The sequence below is a fragment of the Homo sapiens genome, chromosome 7 (genome assembly GCF_000001405.40).
Source record: "Homo sapiens chromosome 7, GRCh38.p14 Primary Assembly".
Taxonomy (NCBI): Eukaryota; Metazoa; Chordata; class Mammalia; order Primates; family Hominidae; genus Homo; species Homo sapiens.
This window is the reverse complement of record NC_000007.14, coordinates 102,606,975-102,626,070: the sequence shown is the minus strand read 5'-3', so window position 1 is coordinate 102,626,070 and position 19,096 is coordinate 102,606,975. Positions and strand designations below refer to the sequence as shown.

Below are 19,096 nucleotides of genomic sequence, written 5' to 3'. Positions count from 1 at the left end.
TGCAAGAACATTCAGATCAGCCTTCTTCATAACAGACCCAAACAGGAAACAACAGACGTTCATCCACAGGCTAGTGAAGAGGCAGGTTGTGAGGCCTCCGCCCACACCGTAGAATGCTATTCAGCAACATGGGTGACTCCCCTGCATGTAACATTGGCAAAGAAGCCAGGCACAAGCAAATATACACTGTAGGATTCCATTTATATAAAGAGCAAAAGCAGGCAGGAGGGCCGGGTGGGCACAGTGGCTCAGACCTGTAATCCCAGCACTTTGGGAGGCCAGTTGTGGGGGGTGAATCGCTTGAGCCCAGGAGTTTGAGACCAGCTTGGGCAACATAGCAAGACCCCATCTTAAAAAAAATAAAAAATTAGCCGGGCGTGGTGGTGCAGGCCTATCATCCCAGCTTCTCAGGAGGCTGAGGCAGGAGGATCACTTGAGCCCAGAAGTTGGAGGCTGCAGTGAGCTGTGATTGTGCCACTGCACTCCAGTCTGGGCAACAGAGTGAGACCCTATCTCAAAAAAGCAGGTGGGAGTAATCCATGGCAATAAATTGGGATAGAAGTTATTCCTGGAGGTGGTGATGACTGGTATGGGACACAAGGAAGCCACCTGGGGCTGGGAATGTTCTAGTTCTTGATCTGGGAGATGGTCATGCAGTCGTAGGCCTGTGTAAGACTTCCTCGAGCTGTCCACATAAGATTTGTGCACTTTAGCTGAATGTGGTGGCTTACACCTGGAATCCTAGCACTTTGAGAGGCTGAGGTGGGCAGATTGCTAGAAGCCAGGAGTTCGAGACCAGCCTGAGCAACATAGTGAGCCCCCTGACTCTAAAAAAAAAATTTTTTTTTTTAATTATCTGAGCATGCTGGCATGCACCTGTAGTCCCAGCTACTTAGGAGGCTGAGGTGGAAAGATTGCTTGGGCCCAGGAGATTGAGGCTGCAGTGAGCTATGATCACACCACTTCACTCCAGCCTGGGCAACGGAGCGAGACCCTATCTCAAAAAAATAAATAAAATATTTGTGCAGTTCTCTGTATGGAAAATGTCCGCGTCTATCCAGCAAGCATCCATGGAGTAGTCCGGAGAATTGTGGGTTAGCAAGACACTGGGTGGCGTCAGGCACTGGAGGGATGGGGGAACAGCCATGCAGAAGATCCCAGGCAGAGCCAAGGCAGAGATGCAGGGGGATGGTGGGGGGCCTACTGGGGACGGCTAAGTGGTGGGGGGACACCAGTGATCCAAGGGCTGGGGGCATCTAGAGGCCAGGGTTCCAGTTACCCACAGTGCCCAGGATCTGTGGGAGTAGTGGATGGGGGAGTAGTGGATGGGCAAGGGTCAAGCTGAAAAACAAGAGCCGTCACCCTCACCCTCCCATGCCCCCACTGTGGCTCCATCCTGGCTCCTGGTTCTCATCAGCCGAGCCGGGGCCCTTTCCCCGGCTGGGGGTGGCCATGGCGCCAGAAGCCACGACAGGTTTACGTTCCAGCCGCAGCTGCACTGGCCCCATCCCAAGTCCCCTCGCTTGCACACACATTTTTCTCCTTGTGGAGTCAGAAGAGGCCTGGCCAGGTCCTGCACAGGGTTCTGGAGGCGAGAGTCCCCTTGGAATCACGTTGTCTCCCCCAGCCCTGGGCCGTCTCTGCTCGGGGAGTGCCCTCAGAGCTGCACCTGGACTCTTTCCCCCACTTCCCAGCCCTTCCTCCTGTTCTTTCTCCCAGCCCCAGCTCTTCTCCTTCAAGCCCAGCTCAGGTGCCGCCTCTTCCAGGAAGCCCCCTGGGACCATCTCCAGTCTCAGTGGGAGCAGTGTGTCCTTGGTTGCTCCCAGAGTCTATAGCAGAGATCTGGACCCAAGACTCTGGACTCCCGGCTTTGGGCTGGCAGGTAACACCCACTCCTGGGGCTTCACTTGCCTTGCTACGTGTCAGTTTCTCACTTTGAGGGGGGCAGCAGTATTCACCCACAGGGGCTGGGGCTGAGGAGATTAAGGGACTGCAGCTCCAGGAGGCCTCAGAGGAAAGGGTACAGGTGGGATGCAGTGGCTCACAGCTCTAATCCCAGCACTTTGGGAGGCCAAGGTGGGAGGATGGCTCAAGTCCAGGAGTTGGAGACCAACCTGGGCAACACAGTGAGACATCATCTCTACAAAAAATTTAGAAGTTTTTTTCTTTTTCTTTTCTTTTTTTTAATTATTATTTTTTTGAGACAGAGTCTTACTCTGTCACTCAGGCACTCTGTCATCTCAGCTCAGTCAGGCACTCTGTCATCTCAGCTCACTGCAACCTCCACCTCCCAGGGTCAAGTGATTCTCGTGCCTCAGCCTCCGGCGTAGCTGGGGTTACAGGCATGAGCCATCATGCCCAGCCCTCCAAAAAGAAAAACAATAACAACAACAACAATTTTGGCCGGGCATGGTGGCTCACACCTGTAATCCCAGCACCTTGGGAGGCCGAGGATCACTTGAGGTCAGTAGTTGGAGACCAGCCTGGCCAACATGGTGAAACCCCGTCTCTGCGAAAAACACACAAAAAATTAGCTGGGTATGGTGGCAGGTGCCTGTGATCCCAGCTACTTGGGAGGCTGAGGCAGGAGAATTGCTTGAACCTGGGAGGCAGAGGATGCAATGAGCCAAGACCACGCCGCTGCACTCCAGCCTGGGGAACAGAGCGAGACTCTGTGTCAAAAAACAAACAAACAAACAAACATTTTAAAAGAAAGAAAGAAAAAAGGGAAAGGAGAGCATCAGAGTCTAAGACCACACAGAAACCCTCTCTTTACTGCAGTGCTGAAGCCCTCGTGGCAGCCATGCCCTGCTCACTTTTGGGATACCCATGGACTCAGGGCACGTCCTAAGGTGACACCTGTCACCAGCCCTATGCCTGCCTCTGTCCACCTTCGCCTCTGCTGGAGACCATTCTCAGACACCCCTGAGATGCCCAGAGGGGACCTGCAACCTCTTCCCACCCCACCTCCCACAAGGGGTCCCTGGGAAAACTGGGGGTAACATTCCCCCCACCCTCACCCCTACTTCAGTCTGGGTGTTCAGAGCAGCCCTCTCTGTCTCTGAATTTTCTCTTTTTTTCCTTTTGGAGACGGAGTCTCACTCTGTCACCAAGGCTGGAATGCAGTGGCGCAATCTCAGCTCACTGCAACCTCCATGTCCCGGGTTCAAGCGATTCTCACACTTCAGCCTCCCAAGTAGCTGGGATTATAGGTTCACGCCACCACTCCTGGCCTCTGAATTTTCTCTCTTGGTGTTTTGTTTTTGTTTTTGTTTTTTTGACAGAGTTTTGCTCTTGTTGCCCAGGCTGGAGTGTAATGGCTCTATCTCCGCTCACTGCAACCTCCGCCTCCCAGGTTCAAGCGATTCTCCTGCCTCAGCCTCCCGAGTAACTGGGATCACAGGCACCTGCCACCACACCTGGCTAATTTTTTGTATTTTTAGTAGAGACGGGGTTTCAATATGTTGGCCAGGCTGGTCTCGAACTCCTAGCCTCAGGTGATCCACTTGCCTTGGCCTCCCAAAGTGCTGGGATTACAGGCATGAGCTTGAATTTTCTCTTTCTGATTTCCTGTCTCTCTGCCTCTGACTATGTTTCTCCATCTGTTTCTCTCTGTCTGTCTGTCTGTCTTTCAGAGCAGGGTCTTTCTTTCTGACATCTGCAGGGCTGGGGGCTGTGCTAGGAGGGGGGTGAATTTGTCATTGTGACTTTGCAGCTCCTTATCTATGAAGTGGACAGGACACCAGCATCTAGTCCTGGAGTCCTTGGTGAGGACCTGGTGTGTTGAGGCTGGCCGGTGCAGAGTTAAGGGTTCAGTCCATGATTTCTGCATCCATGAAAGGGGGATGGTGAGGCTGGGCATGGTTGCTCATGCCTGTAGTCCTAGCGTTTTGGGAGGCCGAGGCGGGTGGATGACTTGAGGTCAGGAGTTCAAGACCAGCCTGGCCAACATGGTGAAACCCTGTCTCTACTAAAAATACAAAAATTAGCAGGGCACAGTGGCTCATGCCTGTAATCCCAGCACTTTGGGAGGCTGAGGCAGGCGCATCACTTGAGGTCAGAAGTTCAAGACCAGCCTGGCCAACATGGCAAAACCCTGTCTCTACTAAAAATACAAAAATTAGCAGGGTGTGGTTGCACACACCTGTAATTCCAGCTACTCGGGAGGCTGAGGCAGGAGAATCACTTGAACCCGGGAGGTGGAGGTTGCAGTGAGCCGAGATTGCACCATTGCACTCCAGCCTGGGCCACAGAGCGAAACTCCGTCTCAAAAAAAAAAAAAGGGGGGGGGTGGGGGGTGGATGGTAAGAACAGCCCTGCTCCTCTGCTTCTGGGGATTAACGTGAGGATGTCCTGAGTGCTTGCCCCAGGGAGGTGCCCTCTGCGGTCTGGTGACCAAGTGGCTCACCAGCACACTCTGTTCCCAGCCACTCTGCGGGGTGCAGCCACCATTGCCCCACTCTACAGATTAGGCAGATGAAGCCCAGAGAGGCTGAATAACTGGCCCAGTCACACAGCAGCTCCTATCATAGCAGTGGAGGTAGGATTTGAACTCAATTGTCTGGCTCCAGAGCCTGCGATCTTCACTGTGGACCTCGTTTTTTTGTGGTTTTTGCTTTTTGTTTTTGGAGACAGGGTCTTGCTCTATCACCCAGGCTGGAGTGCAGTGGCACAATCACAGCTCACTGCAGCCGTGACCTCTGAGCTCAAGCGATCCTCCCACCTCTGCCTCTCGAGTAGCTGGGACTACAGGTGTGCACCACCATGCCTGGCTAACTTTTTTATTTTTCGTAAAGGCAGGGTCTCGCTATGTAGCCTAGGCTGGTCTTGAACTCCAGGCTTCAAGCGATCCTTTGCCTTGGCCTCCCAAAGTGCTGGGATGACAGGCATTGAGCCACCAAGCCCAGCCTGTGGACCTTGGCTTTAAAACTGTTATTCAATGGTATCTGTCTAAATGGTGCAGTAGGAGTGTCAAGATTGGTGGGGTAGGGGGAAGCTGGGGATAGAGCCCCATCTGGCCTCTGATGACTCCCAGCCTGCCCCTCTGGCCAGCCAGGATTTTTTTTGTTTTTGAGACAGAGTCTTGCTCTGTTGCCCAGGCTAGAGTGCAGTGGCATGATCTCGACTCACTGCAACCTCTGCCTCCCGGGTTCAAGTGATTCTCTGCCTCAGTCTCCCGAGTAGCTGGGATTACAGGCAAGCAATACCATTTCGGGTTAATTTTTGTATTTTTAGTAGAGACGGGGTTTCATCATCTTGGCCGGGCTGGTCTTGAACTCCTGACCTCGTGATCCACCTGCCTTGGCCTCCCAAAGTGCTGGGATTACAGGCATGAGCCACCGCTCCCGGCCAGGACTTCTTAACATACAGCTGTCACTTGGCCCAGAGCCTGCCAGGGATCCTTGTGTCCCTGGCTCCTGTGCCCAGCTTTTGCGGGTTCACAGCTGGACTCCTCTGGCCTTCGGAGAGGGCTGCCCTTGCCACCCTCTGCACCTGCCACCCAACTTCCTCCTCATCCCCTGCTCCTGCCTCCTATCCAGTTTTCTGGGCTTCTCCTTCTTCCTCCAGCAATGCCTTCGGTCTCATTCTTCCAGGACCTGCCTCCTCCCAAAGTCCTCTCTGGGGGCTCTGGGCCATGGCACAGCAGGACAGCCACCAGAAGCCACTGTCAGAGTCTGATGGGTGAGGACGGAAGGTGGCTCAGGAGTCCTTCCTTAGGGCAGGGACAATTTTTTCCAGGAGAGGTGTGAGGCCTCCAGCTCCTAAAACTCCTCGAGGTTTAAGAGCGGGAAATGCTTTGGCTCCAAAATATTAAAACTGCAACATTAAAAAATAGTAAATGTTTACTGAAATGTCTTCTAAATATAACTTTATGTCAGTTTCATCCATTGTTAAATTTAGTATTTCAAAATGCATCACTGCGCATGAAAACAATTCGTAGGTCACATTTTCTCACTTTGGAAGAATCCTAAGATTCTCAAGAATGCATGATGTTGGTAGAGAAGTCAAGGCCAGGAGCAAATCAAATGAGTTACTTGCCCCCAAACCGCTTTGAAAGTTGTTATAAAATTCTTTTCAATTGTTTTATATTGCCAAAATATATTACAAAGTTGGGGTATGGGTGCATTTTTTTTATTCTGGTAAAAAAACACATAAGGTTTACCATCTTAACTATTTTATTTATTTATTGTTATTATTTTGAGACGGAGTCTCACTGTGTCTCCAGCCTGGAGTGCTGTGGTGCCATCTGGTCTCACTGCAAGCTCCGCCTCCTGGGTTCAAGTGATTCTCCTGCCTCAGCCTCCCGAGTAGTGGGACTACAGGTGTGCACCACCACGCCCAGGTAATCTTTGTATTTTTAGTAGAGACGGGGTTTCACCATGTTGGCCAGGATGGTCTCCAACTACTGACCTCAAGTGATCCTCCCGCCTCGGCCTCCCAAAGTGCTGGGATTACAGGTGTGAGCCACCACGCCCGGCCTTATTTCTTTATTTTTTAAAATTTTATCATGTTGCCCAGGCTGGTCTTGAACTCCTGAGCTCAAGTGATCTGCCCGCCTCAGCCTCCCAAAGTGCTGGGATTACAGGCATGAGTCACCACACCCAGCCCATCTTAAGCTTTTTTTTTTTTTGACGAGGTCTCTCTCTGTCGCTCAGGCTGGAGTACAGTGGTGCCATCTCAGCTCACCGCAACCTCCACCTCCCAGGTTCAAGCGATTCTCCCTGCCTCAGCCTCCTGAATAGCTAGGACTACAGGCGTGCACCACCACGCCCAGCTAATTTTTATATTTATAGTAGAGACAGAGTTTCACCATGTTGGCCAGGCTGGTCTCAAACTCCCGACCTCAGGCGATCCACGCACCTCGGCCTCCCAAAGTGCTGGGATTCCAGGCGTGAGCCACCGCCCCTGGCCCATCTTCACTATTTTTAAGTGGACAGCACAGTAGTATTAACTATATGCACATCTCTGGAACTTTTTCACCTTGCAATACTGAAACCCTACACTCAACAAACAACTCGCTTTCCCTGCCCCGCTCCAGCCCCTGAAAACTTCTACTCTCCTTTCTGCTTCTGTGAATTGTACTATTCCAGATACCTCCCATAGGTGGAAGCAACCACTATTTGTCTTTCTTTGTAACTGGCTCATTTCACTTAGCATTATGTCTTCAAGTTTCATCCATCTTTTAGCATGTGTAAGAATTTCCTTCCTTGCTTTTTTTGTTTGTTTGTTTGTTTGTTGAGACTGAGTTTCACTCTTGTCACCCAGGCTAGAGTGCGATGGTGCGAACTTGGCTCACTGCGACCTCTGCCTCCCGGGTTCTCAAGCAATTCTCTTGCCTCAGCCTCCAGAGTAGCTGGGATTACAGGCGCCTGCCACCACGCCCGGCTAATTTTTGTATTTTTAGTAGATATGGGGTTTCGCCATGTTGGCCAGGCTGGTCTCGAACTCCTGACCGCAGGTGATCCACCCACCTCGGCCTCCCAAAGTGCTGGGATTACAGGTGTGAGCCACCACGCCTGGCCTCGTTTTTGTTTTTGTTTTTGGAGACAGAGTTTTGCTCTGTCGCCCACGCTGGAGTGCAGTGGTGCGATCATACCTCACTGCAGCCTCCCCTCCTAGGCTCAAGCAATCTTCCTGCCTCGGCTTTCTGAGTAGCTCGAACTACAGACACACACTACCATGCCTGGCTAATATTTTTATTTTTTGTAGCAAAGGTGGGGGGGGGTCTCATTATGTTGCCCTGGCTGGGCTTGAACTCCTGGCCTCAAGTGATCCTCCCATCTCAAGCCTCCCAAAGTGCTGGGATTATAGGCGTGAGCCGCTGTGCCCAGCCTCAAACACTTTTTCTTTCAACGACATTGACCTATAGTGAATATCAAAAGCATGCACTGAAACTCAAGAGCTGCCTCCTCTCCTGTGCCAGGATGCACTGTAACTTTTGTGAGCCCTAGGCATGTTTGACTTATATGGGTTAAGATATTCAAATACGGCTAGGCACGGTGGCTCACGCCTGTAATCCTAACACTCTGGGAGACCGAAGTGGGCAGCTCACCTGAGGTCAGGTGTTTGAGGCCAGCCTGGCCAACCTGGTGAAACTCCATCTCTACTAAAAATATAGAAATTACCCAGGCGTGGTGGCAGGTCCCTGAAGCTCTGGCTACTCGGGAGGCTGAGGCAGGAGAATGCCTTGAGTCAGGGAGGCAGAGGTTGCAGTGAGCTGAGATTGCGCTACTGCACTCCAGCCTGGGTGATAGAGCGAGACTCCACCCCAAAAAAAAGAAAAAAAAAAAGATATTCAAATGTGTATTTTACAACTGCTTTGGCATAAAGACTGACTGATACCAGTCAGGTCAGATTCATTATTACATATTCATTACTATTATACTCCTGTTTGACTAGGCATGGTGGGCTCACATCTGTGGTCCCAGCCCTTTGGGAGGCCAAGGCAGGAGGATAACTTGAGGCCAGGAGTTCTAGACCAGCCTGGGCAACATAATGAGACCCCCCCATTTCTACTAAAAATAAAAAAAATTAGCCAGTCGTGGTGGTATGCATCTGTAGTCCCAGCTACATGGGAGGCTGAGGTGGTAGGATTGCTTGAACCCAGGAGATTGAGGCTGCAGTGAGCTATGATTGCACCACTGCACTTCAGCCAACAGAGCAAGCCCCTGTTTCAAATGCATGCATACATACATACATACATACATACATACATACATACATACACACACAAACCAACCAATACAAAAAATACATATTTTTTTTCTTCTGATTCTAAAAAACATAAAAACAGCCAGGCACGATGGCTCATGCCTGTATTCCCAGCACTTTGGGAGGCCGAGGTGGGCAGATTACCTGAGGTCAGGAGTTCAAGACCAGCCTGGCCAACATGGTGAAACCCCGTATCTACCGAAAATACAAAAATTAGCTGGGCGTGGTGGCGCGTGTCTGCAATCCCAGCTACTTGGGAGGCTGAGACAGAAGAATTGCTTGAAACCGGGAGGTGGAGGTTGCAGTGTCCCCCACCCGCTCCTCCAGGGGCGCCCCCCTCGAGCCACCGCGCCGGCTGCCCGGCGAGTGTCAGCGCCTCCTCACAGGCCCCGCCCCTCACGCCCCAGACGGCCAATGAGAGCTGCGGCCCCGGCCGGCCCCTCCCCGCCCTGGGGAACCCCGGTCGCGGATTGGCCGGCCCGGGCGCAGTGTCCCCCGCACGTGGGGCGGGGGCGGGGTGAGTGGAGTGGCAGCGAAGCCCCGCCCCCGCCGCCCCGCCCCCGCCCCCGCCTCCTCCCCGGCCCGCCCCACCTGCGGCGCCCAGTCCAGCGCCCGCCGCCCGCCACCCCGGACCCCGGTGTCTGGCTTCCCCCGAGCCGGGACCCCGCGATGGCCAAGCGCAGCTCGCTGTACATCCGCATCGTGGAGGGGAAGAACCTTCCCGCCAAGGACATGTGAGCGCGGCCGGGGGTGGGAGCCCCAACTTTCCGGGGAGGGGCACTGCCCCCCAGGACGCCTGACCTTTCCGGGGTCCACCCACAAGAGCAGCGGAGAGGGTGCGGGAGTGCGGCCGTGGTGGGGGATCGGCGGGGAAAATGGGGACAGTGACATTTTCTGCGAGCACCAGACGGGGTGACAACCGGGGGGCGGGGAAGTGTCACCGAGGGCTGGGGGCTGGGAACTAGGGAGGGGGCGAGAATTTGTCAGCGATCCGCGGCTCACGAGGGGAAGGGGCTTTGATACGACAGGAGCTGGAGCCTGGTGACATGCCAGGGGAGACGTCTTGGTGATCTGCCCCCGGGGTGGGGTTGGAGGGGGTGGGGTGTCCCCCGCAAAGGAAGGGTCTTCCTCAGTAGTTCCAGAGCCCTTAATGCCCCGGAGTGTGCACCTGAAGCACATGCTGGGGCCCAGGGGCTGTCCCCGGGCTTCCTGCTGTGCACTCGGGTAGGAGGGACTGGCATGAAAAGTGAGAACAGGTCAGGAGGCCAGGACAGGTGCAGGACTGTGGGGGAGGGAAGGAGGGTAGTAACTGTCGCTTGTGCCTTGGGCTTTACACCTGAGCCATCCCGTTAATCCTCTCAACCACCCCGAAAGGCAGTTCTCACCGTTCCATTTTACAGATGAGAAAACTGAGGTTCAGAGAAGTGAAATGCTGGCTCCAAGTGGCAGGCAGAGCAGGGTCTTGAGTCTAGGGCTTCTCACAGGCACTGACATCTGGGGATTCCCCTGGTCCCTGGCTCGATTTGGGGAGGTTTCAGGGGCCCCTTGTTCCACTCTTCTCAGTAGGTCCCAGGGCTGAGCTGCCTGACCCCTGGCCCACCATCTTGGTCTTGCCACCACCTTCCTCATGTACAGGGTTTAGGCAGCTCCCTGCTCCTAGAGCCTCAGTTTCCCCTCTTTAAACTAGGGGTTGAAATCCCTCTAGAGGAAGAGGGGGAAAGCTCAAAGGTCAAGGGGCACTGGCTGCCTGGAGGAGGAGGGTGGGAGGGGGAAAAGTGGAGCCTGGAGGAAACAGAGTCCAAAGTCTGCGGAGCTGCAGTTCCCCACCCCTTGGGCGCCCCGGGCTCCTGGATGCAGAGAAGTGGCTAGCATGGGCGAGGGGGTGGAGCAGGGTGGGGGGCAGGCACTCTGCTCACACATATGTGTGGTGGCCCCTGTGAGCTTCCCAGCAAGCTCAGCGCGCCACCACCGAGAGCAGTGCCAGTTCCAGGCCCCCTGGGTCTGATGAGGCCCAGCTCAGCAGTTACCATGACAATGGGGAAGGGAGGGCGGTGGGCATCCCTAGGTGGGTTTCTGTGCTTGGAGGCTTGGAGGGAGGTGGAGTGGGAGCTGGCAGTGAGGTCTGTGGGCTGGGAAGGCAGAGGAGCTCTGAGAAGGGTCTCAGCCTCCAGGCCCAGCCTTTAAGCATCCCCCACCCCCTGCCACCACTGGCACTAGGAACTAGGTCATCTTGGCCTCTTCTGGCTGGTGGCAGCTGGGAGGAGCAGCCCCTCCGTCTGTCGCCTCCCTCCTCATCCCCACAGCAGCTGGCCCTAGTGCCTGGCTCCAGGCTCTCTCCAGCCCAGGGCAGCCAAGCTCTTGGAGTATGCCCACCTGGGAGCCCAGTGCCTGGTTCCCTGCTCAGTGCTTTGCCTCTGGGCAAAGGGGTTCCATCTACAGTGGAGGGGTGCCTTGGGATCTCGATCCTCACCCTGCCCCCCTGCCTGCCCTACTCACGTCTCCTTTGCAACCCCCCATCTTCCCCTGTGGCTTGCATACACAGCTCTGACCTGTCAGCCGCCTCTTAAACCATCCCATAAACAGTCCCTCACATTTGGGCTACTACCCTTCACATCTCTGCTTTCGCCCATGTGTGGGGACTTCTGCCTTCAAGCACTCCACTTCAGTCCTCCAGAAAACTCCTATTCAATGTTCAGGACTCCTCTCAAACTTCTCCTCTCCAGGGCATTCCCTGGTGCACTTGGGCAGAGTTCCTGGCTCCTGGGCTCGCCCCCCAGCACTCTGGGTGGCAGGAGGAAGCCCCTGGTGTGGCAGTTCCTCCGTCAAGTGGTGCCTGTCCCAGCTGACTGTGAGGGCAGGGACTGTGACTCATTCATCCTGGCACCGGGTCCATAGTAGGGAGAATAAGAGGTGTTGAGGACTTCCCCCACTTAATCCTCTTCTTAGCTTTATAAGATAGACATCCTCGGTTTGCACATTGGGAAACTGAGGCTCAGGAAGTGAAAGCCATTTGCCAAGAGGGTAGGTAGAGAAGTCAGGATTCAGATTGCCTTTGCTGCCGACAGGCTGAGAATTCTAGCCTGCCCGCGGCTGTAAGCTTGCGGCTGGGCTCAGTGAGACTGAGCCTCGGAAATCCTATGCAAAGCATTTGGCTGCAGAGTCGGGCAGGGGTTTGGAGATCATGGGAGGCCCTCACTGAGTACTGGAGTTTCACTGTGCCTCACCAGCACCCCGCCTATCTTCTGAGTAGCATCTCCTCCAGCCAGGGCTTGCATACTTCTGAGGACGGGGAGCTTACCACCTCTCATAGTGGCTCATCTTGACTGAGACAGTTCCAAGGAGGAAGCTGTCCTCACACAGCTGCCAGCTGCCTTCCTGCCACTTCTACTCATGGGTTTTTATTCCTCTAAAGGGCACAGAGCGCAGCTGCATTCCCCATCACTGCTAGCTTTCAGAGCCTGCCTGTTCCTGCCCTGCCTCTTCCCACTGTCTCTCGTCCCCACGTACCTAGGCATGAGCCAAGTCTCACGATGACCAGTGACCCACTGCCTCCCACACCAAGTGGCCTTGGGGACTGGCCCAAGGCTATTTTGGGGTTTTCCCTGATCCTCCTCCTTCCACAGCCTAGAAACTGCCAAGGCCCTAAATATAGAGGCCCCGAAAGTAGCCAGACAGGCCAGTGGCAACTGGCTCGGGAAAGGAGAAATGAGAGAGGTGGGCAGCCTAGGGGCCTCAACACTAGCGAAGAAGGAACTGGGCAGGGCTTGGGTCCCAGCAGCCCACTGGGGACCATGGTTGGGCCCAGGTCCTTAAATCTGGCCTCGGCCTGCTCTCAATACCGTCCTCTTGCCCCACCTCTGATCCAGCCACCCGGCTCTTCATAGTCCTTGCACACCAGGACTCGGGTCCTGCTTCCAGGCCTTTGGAAGCAGTAGCAGCCCAGTAGTGGGGGACAGCCCACGGAGGTCCCCTGTTGCCTCAGTCAGTACTGACCTCTCCCTGCCTCCTCTGAGCTCCTTGTATGGCTCCTGGATCCTGCAGCCCAGCCCAGCACCTGGGGTGTTCAGAGGCCTGATTTCTTAGCACCTGGAGTCCCCTGGCTTTGGGTTGATGGGATGCAAGCTGGGGTATTCACAGGGGGCTCCCTGGAGGTGGGGGGGCTCTTTATTTTATTTTATTTATTTCTGAGACAGAGTCTTGCTCTGTTGCCCAGGCTGGAGTGCAGTGGCGCGATCTTGGTTCACTGCAACCTCCTCCTCCGGGGTTCAAGGGATTCTCCTACCTCAGCCTCCCCAGTAGCTGGGATTACAGTTGTACACCACCACTACATTCGGCTAATTTTTGTATTTTTCGTAGAGACGGGGTTTCACCATGTTGGCCAGGCTGGTCTGGAACTCCTGGCCTCACGTGATCTGCCCACCTCGGCCTCCCAAAGTGCTGGGATTACAGGTGTGAGCCACCACACCTGGCCAGGAGGCGGGGGCTCTCAAATGATGGCAGGGGGAGGTTACAGTCAGAGATGCAGGCAGTGCTAACATTTACTGAGCACCTCCAAGACCTTCTCTATCGTCTCAGGACCCAGGGAAGCTCCCTTGTGAGCCGGGGTTACACTTCCCACTTTATAGGTAGGAAAACTGAGTCTTGGCAGACATTTCCTGTCTGTGTCCAGGAGCTTCTGGAGCTGTTGGCCCCAAATGCCTTCCTCTGCCGGAAGAGCCCCTTTTGAGAAGGGAAGCAGAGCTTGGAATTCCCCACCCTCCACCATAGAAACACACTTCCTTTTTATGGACACTCACTGGAGGAACAGCTCTAGAGACAGCCCTCACTTCCCCACTTTTACCCAGTACCAGCCCTAGGCCTGGCTGCAGGCCTCTCCCAGCCCCAGGAGCCCCCCAACACCTGAGACCCTTGGAACTGAGCGCGTGTTTGCCTTCCCCCATCCCTCTTTCCCCAGATAGCTGTTACATTTATTCATTCATTCACTCATCAGTTCATTCATTCGTCTGTTCATTCGGCAAACACTCATGGGCTGCCTGTCTTGTGCCAAGCCCTGTGGGGGCCCTGGGGACACAGGCATGCTCCCCGCCCCCAGGTAGCTCAGAGCAGGTGGGAGGCAGCTGATCACTACCAGGCTGGATGAAGTGGGCAGGCAGTGTGAGTCCAGGGAGGCCTTCCTCCCCGTCCCGTCCTGGGGCGAGGGAGGGCTCTGGCAGGGCTGAAGGCCGACTGGGCAGGAGGGACAGCGGTGTCGGTGTTGGGGAGAGCAGGAGCAAAGGCTCCAGGGAGAGTAAGGGGCTCGACTTTGGTGTGGAGGGTAGGGGTCCCAGGAGCTTGCCTGCGGCTGTTGCTTGGAGCTGTTCTGGGGGGAGGCAGGGATGGGGTAGGAGGGCATAGAAAGGAGGAACATTCTATCCCCTGCGGGAGGAACAGGAGGTTTCCAGTACCCCCTCCCTCTGTCCCTCTCCCTCCCCTCCCTGTCTTTCCCCTCTCCCTCTCTACCCCTCCCTCTCACCCCCTCCCTCAGTTTCCCCCTCCCTCTTTACTCCCTCCCTCTTACTCTCCTCCCTCTCTCCCCCTCCTACTCTCCTCCCTCTCTCCCCCTCCCTCTTACTCTTCTCCCTCTCTCCCCCTCCCTCTCACCCCTTCCCTCTCACCCCCTCACTCAGTCTCCCCCTCCCTCTTAACTCCCTCCCTCTTACTCTCCTCCCTCTCTCTCCCCCTCCCTATCATCCCCCTTCCCTCTTAACCCCCACCTCTCTCCTCCTCCCTCTCAGCCCCCTCCCTCTGTCTCCTCTTCCCTCTCTCTCCCCTCCCTGTCCGTCCCCTTCCCTTTCTGCCCCTCCCTCTGTCCCTCTCCCAGTCTCTCCCCTTCCTCCTTCCCCCTCCTTTCTTCTCCTTTCTCTCTCTACCCATCCCTGTCTCCTCCCCCTCCTTCTCCCTCCCCCACAACTCTCCCTCCATCTACTCCCACCCCTGCCCGCGAAAGGGGAGCCCTGGTGCGGGTTCCTGCCCTTCCCTCACCATCCGCTCCCGGGCTGAGGGCGGGGACCCGTGTTTGGCCGGAGGAGCCTGCGGTCTCCAAACCAGGACGCGGAGACTCAGCCTCCGCTCTCTTCCCCCGCACTCCTCCCGAGGGGCCAAAAGAGAGAGGAGCCTGCCGCGAGTCCCCGCCCCGATCCCGCCCTCCAGCCCCGCCCCTGCCTATTTGTCTTGCAGCACTGGCAGCAGCGACCCCTACTGCATCGTGAAGGTGGACAATGAGCCCATCATCAGGTACCGCCCCCACCCCCAGGACCGAGGGGCGCTCAGCCTCTCATCGGCCCGCGCTCTCCCCGCAAAGGGGTGTGAATTTTGTTGTGAATTTTGTACGGAGATGGGAGGGGGCTTGGAGCACCTGGTCCCCTGCCTGGGATTCCCCACCTCGCCCTGACACCCCAGCTAGGAGACGAGAAAGACCTTCAGGGAACTGGCCTGGCCAAGGGCCTCTCACCGGACTCTGTTCATCTTTGCAATCATCACAACCTCCGGGAGAGACAGATGCTGACGATTTGTAACAACAACTCTCATTTGTGGAGCCAGCCCTTTTCCAGCCCGTTTAGTTCTTGCAATTAACGAGATACGATATCATTAGACCCCATTTACAGACAAGGAAACTGAGGCTCAGGGAGACTAACTACCCTGGCCAAGGTCACATGCCTAGTAAAAGTGGCAGAGCCACACTGGAGCCCAAGTCTGGCCACCCCAGAGCCTGAGCTCCCTTCCCCTCCCTGGTCCTGGCTCTAACTTGGGTCCTGTCCCCTGAGAGTCCCATAGTAATATCCCTCGAGGCTGGGCAACCCCAGCCTGCACCCTGAAGAGTCACTTCCTCCGGATGTCCCTTCCTCCATGGTCCCCATGATCTCTGGGCAGGGTCTTTGCTGTCCTCTCCCTTCCTTCACCCAGACTCCTGCTTCCAAGTTCATGGCCAGAGCTGCCCTACTGTTCTGCCCACCTGAGTGCCCGTGGCCTACTCGGAGCCCAGTCCTTCCCTACCTGCAAGCAGGCTCCCAGCCTTTCTCGAGGGTCTGCAAACCACAGACAGCAAGAGGGAGAGGGGTGTGATGGCTCTGATGCTCTTGATACAGAAGGGAAACAGATGACCTGTCTGAGAAGTGGTTGGCATGAGGTGGTCCCCTGAACTTTCATCCGGGTCCTTGGGGGCTTCAGCGTCTCCCCACCCGCTAGCCCACTGAGTCCCATGAGTTGAAGGCTCTGATCCAAAGGGGGTTGACCAGAGCTGGGTGAGGATGTGAGGCCAGGCTCACCAGTCGCCCTGAGGCAGCTACCCTGTGACCTGAGGCCAATGCCTGCCAACTGTGATCTCAGTTTCCCCAAATGTAAAACAGCTGGAGAGGCTGGGCACGGTGGCTCACGCCTGTCATCCCGGCACTTTGGAAGTCCGAGGTGGGCAGATCACCTGAGGTCAGGAGTTCGAGAGCAGCCTGGCCAACAGGGTGAAACCCTGTCTCTACGAAAATGACAAAATTAGCTGGGCGTGGTGGCAGGCGTCTGTAATCCCAGCTACTCAGGAAGCTGAGGCAGGGAGAATTGCTTGAACCTGGGAGGCAGAGGTTGCAGTGAGCCGAGATGACGCCACTGCACTCTAGCCTGGGCGACAGAGCGAGACTCCGTCTCAAAAAAATAAAATAAAATAAATAACAGCCAGAGAGAGGCAGCCCTGTGCCCCATCCAGAGCAGAGAGGAATGTCAGGGGGTAGTGATTGGTGGTGAACAGTAGGGTCTGGCACAGGGAAAACACATCAGTGGCAGAGCCAGTTGTTATAGGGGTAGGGGAAGATACAAGGAAGGTCCCAGCCCAGGGCCTGGGAGTGGCCTGGGCACATGCTGAGGGTTCTCTCCTGCAGGACAGCCACAGTGTGGAAGACCCTGTGCCCCTTCTGGGGTGAGGAGTACCAAGTGCACCTGCCGCCCACCTTCCACGCTGTGGCTTTCTATGTCATGGATGAGGATGCCCTCAGGTGAGTGCCCCCCTCTCCAGCTGGGACCCAGACCTGGCCATCTGATTGCTCCCTGGCCCATTTCACCACCAGGACTCCTGGGTCCTTTTTGGCATCCTCTTTGCAGCCTGGAGGGAGGCAGAGCCTGGGGGCCTGGGAGGGCGAAAAGCTTGAGCGTGTGGGTGTGCACATGCGTGGCTCCATGGTGCATGCGCCACATACACACGTGTGTGTGCAGGCATGCAGGCACAAGTGTGCATGGACTACACGTGTGCGTGCAGGTGTGAGCTGTGAGATGGGCACCCAGAGAGTGTGAGCTTGGCATGTGTGGGCATGTGAGAAACCTATCACATCCCCCTAGAGGGTCCAGAACCCACAGCCTACAGAAGGGCCACAGGTCCAGCTCTGTTGGGTTACTCTGGAAATGACAGCGGTGTCCACCACCCTGCTCCCCCCGGGGGGGCCCTGAACTTGGTGGGAGGTCCCAGAGGGCAGATACTGAAGCCCTGCCCAGCTCTGCCTCCGTCTCCCTCCTCTAGCCGGGACGACGTTATCGGAAAGGTCTGCCTTACAAGGGACACCATAGCCTCTCACCCTAAGGGTAAGTTCTCCCTTCCCTCCCACACTGGTCTGCCCAGTCCCTGGCCTCCCTCCCACTCGGAGACCTCCCCTCTAGGCTCCGTCTGGTCTCCTGCTCAGGGAAAGCCATTTCTACTCTCCCCAGAAGCCGGGGCCACGTTCTGTACTCCTGGCCTCTGTTCTGCAGCATGTTCCCAAGCCTGGTTGTTACTGCCTCTTCCCTAGGGTGAAGAGGGGCTGCTATGGGTGGAATCTGAGGCCTCTGCTGGCAGAAGAAGGGGCCTCCTTACACTCTATTGCTGAAGCATAGGGACCCCTTCTCCAAATCAGGCCAGCTCCTTCTGTAACCCATGGGGTCGCCTCCATCTGGGCCCTAGTACTACTGTGTCCTAAGTCTGAAGGGTTGGCCTAGAGCCAGTCCAGGCTGGAGATCCCTTTCAATTATTTCTGGGATGCAGACATTGTTTTGTGTTATTGTTTTTACAATTTTTATATAGTTTTTTTTTAAAAAAAAGGCCGGGCACGGTGGCTCACACCTGTAATCCCAGCACTTTGGGAGGCCGAGACGGGTGGATCACGAGGTCAGGAGATCGAGACCATCCTGGCTAACACGGTGAAACCCCGTCTCTACTAAAAGTACAAAAAAATTAGCTGGGCGTGGTGGCAGGCACCTGTAGTCCTAGCTACTTGGCAGGCTGAAGCAGGAGAATGGCGTGAACCTGGGAGGCAGAGCTTGCAGTAAGCCGAGATCGCGCCACTGCACTCCAGCCTCAGCAACGGAGCAAGACTCCACCTCAAAAATAAATAAATAAATAAATGAATAAAAAATAAAAATAAAAAATAAAATAGAGGCCGGGTGCAGTGGCTCACACCTATAATCCCAGCACTTTGGGAGGCCGAGGCAGGTGGATCACCTGAGGTCAGGAGTTCAAGACCAGCCTGGCCAACATGGCAAAACTCTGTCTCTACTAAAAATACAAAAAATTAGCTAGACGTCGTGGTGGGCACCTGTAATCCCAGCTACTCAGGAGGCTGAGGCAGGAGAATCGCTTGAATCCAGGAGGCGGAGGTTGCAGTGAGTCAAGATCACGCCATTGCACTCCAACCTGGATGACAGAGCAAGACTCCATCTCCAAAAGAAAAACAAAGATGGAGGCCGGGCATGGTGGCTCACACCTGTAATCCCAGTGGCAATTCACTTGAGATTAGGAGTTCAAGACCAGCCTCGTCAACATGGTGAAACCCTGTCTCTACTAAAAATATAAAAATTACCTGGGCATGGTGGCACTCACCTGTAATCCCAGCTACTGGGGAGGCTGAGACAGGAAAATCTCTTGAACCTGGGAGGCAGAGGTTGCAGTGAGCCAAGATTGCGCCATTGCACTCCAGCCTAGGTGACAGAGCAAGACTCTGTCTCAAAAAAAAAAAAAAAAAAATGGAGATGGGGGTCTCACTCTGTTGCCCAGGCTGGTCTTGAACTCCTGGCTTTGACAGATCCTCCCGCCTTGGCCTCCCCAAGGTGCTAGGATTACAGGTGTGAACCACCATGCTCTGCCCAGACATGATTTTGAGGGTTCAGCCCTGTGCCAGCCTCACTGTGTGTGACCTTGGGCAGCTCCTGCCTTCTCTGGGCTTCTCTGAGGGTTCAAACCAGTTCTTGGATGCTATGGGCTCTGCCATCAGAGCCTTTGTGTCCCGCTTACTGGCTTCCCCCCACACACACCTGCTCCTGTCTGTGACGCTGGGCCAGGGATGGGGGCAGGGCGAAGGCAGGTTCTGCTGACTCATGGGGCTTCTTGGCCCCTGCC

The 19,096-nt window shown here is 55.3% G+C and overlaps 1 protein-coding gene across 10 annotated transcripts in view, besides 6 other annotated features; it reads left to right on the top strand.

Annotated features, from left to right (window-relative positions):
• Positions 1,062 to 1,561: an enhancer, noted in NCBI's record as "H3K4me1 hESC enhancer chr7:102264957-102265456 (GRCh37/hg19 assembly coordinates)". NCBI's record gives its function as "activates a minimal SCP1, AML or CMV promoter by ChIP-STARR-seq in naive H9 embryonic stem cells {active_cell/tissue: H9 hESC(naive)}" and the evidence as "EXISTENCE:reporter gene assay evidence [ECO:0000049][PMID:30033119]".
• Positions 1,562 to 2,063: an enhancer, noted in NCBI's record as "H3K4me1 hESC enhancer chr7:102264455-102264956 (GRCh37/hg19 assembly coordinates)". NCBI's record gives its function as "activates a minimal SCP1, AML or CMV promoter by ChIP-STARR-seq in naive H9 embryonic stem cells {active_cell/tissue: H9 hESC(naive)}" and the evidence as "EXISTENCE:reporter gene assay evidence [ECO:0000049][PMID:30033119]".
• RASA4 (RAS p21 protein activator 4) overlaps positions 9,313 to 19,096 on the top strand; it is a 37,113-nt gene continuing 27,329 nt past the window's right edge. For 7 of the 10 annotated variants that reach the window (NM_001079877.2, XM_047419702.1, XM_047419703.1 and 4 more), the window contains exons 1-4: positions 9,313 to 9,446; positions 14,929 to 14,985; positions 16,617 to 16,730; positions 17,249 to 17,310. In NM_001079877.2, coding sequence (NP_001073346.2) covers positions 9,382 to 9,446; positions 14,929 to 14,985; positions 16,617 to 16,730; positions 17,249 to 17,310 — 298 coding nt within the window. In that variant the 5' untranslated portion in view covers positions 9,313 to 9,381. Of the gene's footprint in view, positions 9,447 to 9,525; positions 9,549 to 14,928; positions 14,986 to 16,616; positions 16,731 to 17,248; positions 17,311 to 19,096 lie in introns of those variants that run through there. The other 3 variants (NM_006989.6, XM_047419706.1, XM_047419707.1) reach the window with 3 other exon arrangements.
• Positions 10,012 to 10,980: an enhancer, noted in NCBI's record as "H3K27ac-H3K4me1 hESC enhancer chr7:102255538-102256506 (GRCh37/hg19 assembly coordinates)". NCBI's record gives its function as "activates a minimal SCP1, AML or CMV promoter by ChIP-STARR-seq in naive H9 embryonic stem cells {active_cell/tissue: H9 hESC(naive)}" and the evidence as "EXISTENCE:reporter gene assay evidence [ECO:0000049][PMID:30033119]".
• Positions 11,950 to 12,918: an enhancer, noted in NCBI's record as "H3K27ac-H3K4me1 hESC enhancer chr7:102253600-102254568 (GRCh37/hg19 assembly coordinates)". NCBI's record gives its function as "activates a minimal SCP1, AML or CMV promoter by ChIP-STARR-seq in primed H9 embryonic stem cells {active_cell/tissue: H9 hESC(primed)}" and the evidence as "EXISTENCE:reporter gene assay evidence [ECO:0000049][PMID:30033119]".
• Positions 13,102 to 13,744: an enhancer, noted in NCBI's record as "H3K27ac-H3K4me1 hESC enhancer chr7:102252774-102253416 (GRCh37/hg19 assembly coordinates)". NCBI's record gives its function as "activates a minimal SCP1, AML or CMV promoter by ChIP-STARR-seq in primed H9 embryonic stem cells {active_cell/tissue: H9 hESC(primed)}" and the evidence as "EXISTENCE:reporter gene assay evidence [ECO:0000049][PMID:30033119]".
• Positions 15,009 to 15,623: an enhancer, noted in NCBI's record as "H3K4me1 hESC enhancer chr7:102250895-102251509 (GRCh37/hg19 assembly coordinates)". NCBI's record gives its function as "activates a minimal SCP1, AML or CMV promoter by ChIP-STARR-seq in primed H9 embryonic stem cells {active_cell/tissue: H9 hESC(primed)}" and the evidence as "EXISTENCE:reporter gene assay evidence [ECO:0000049][PMID:30033119]".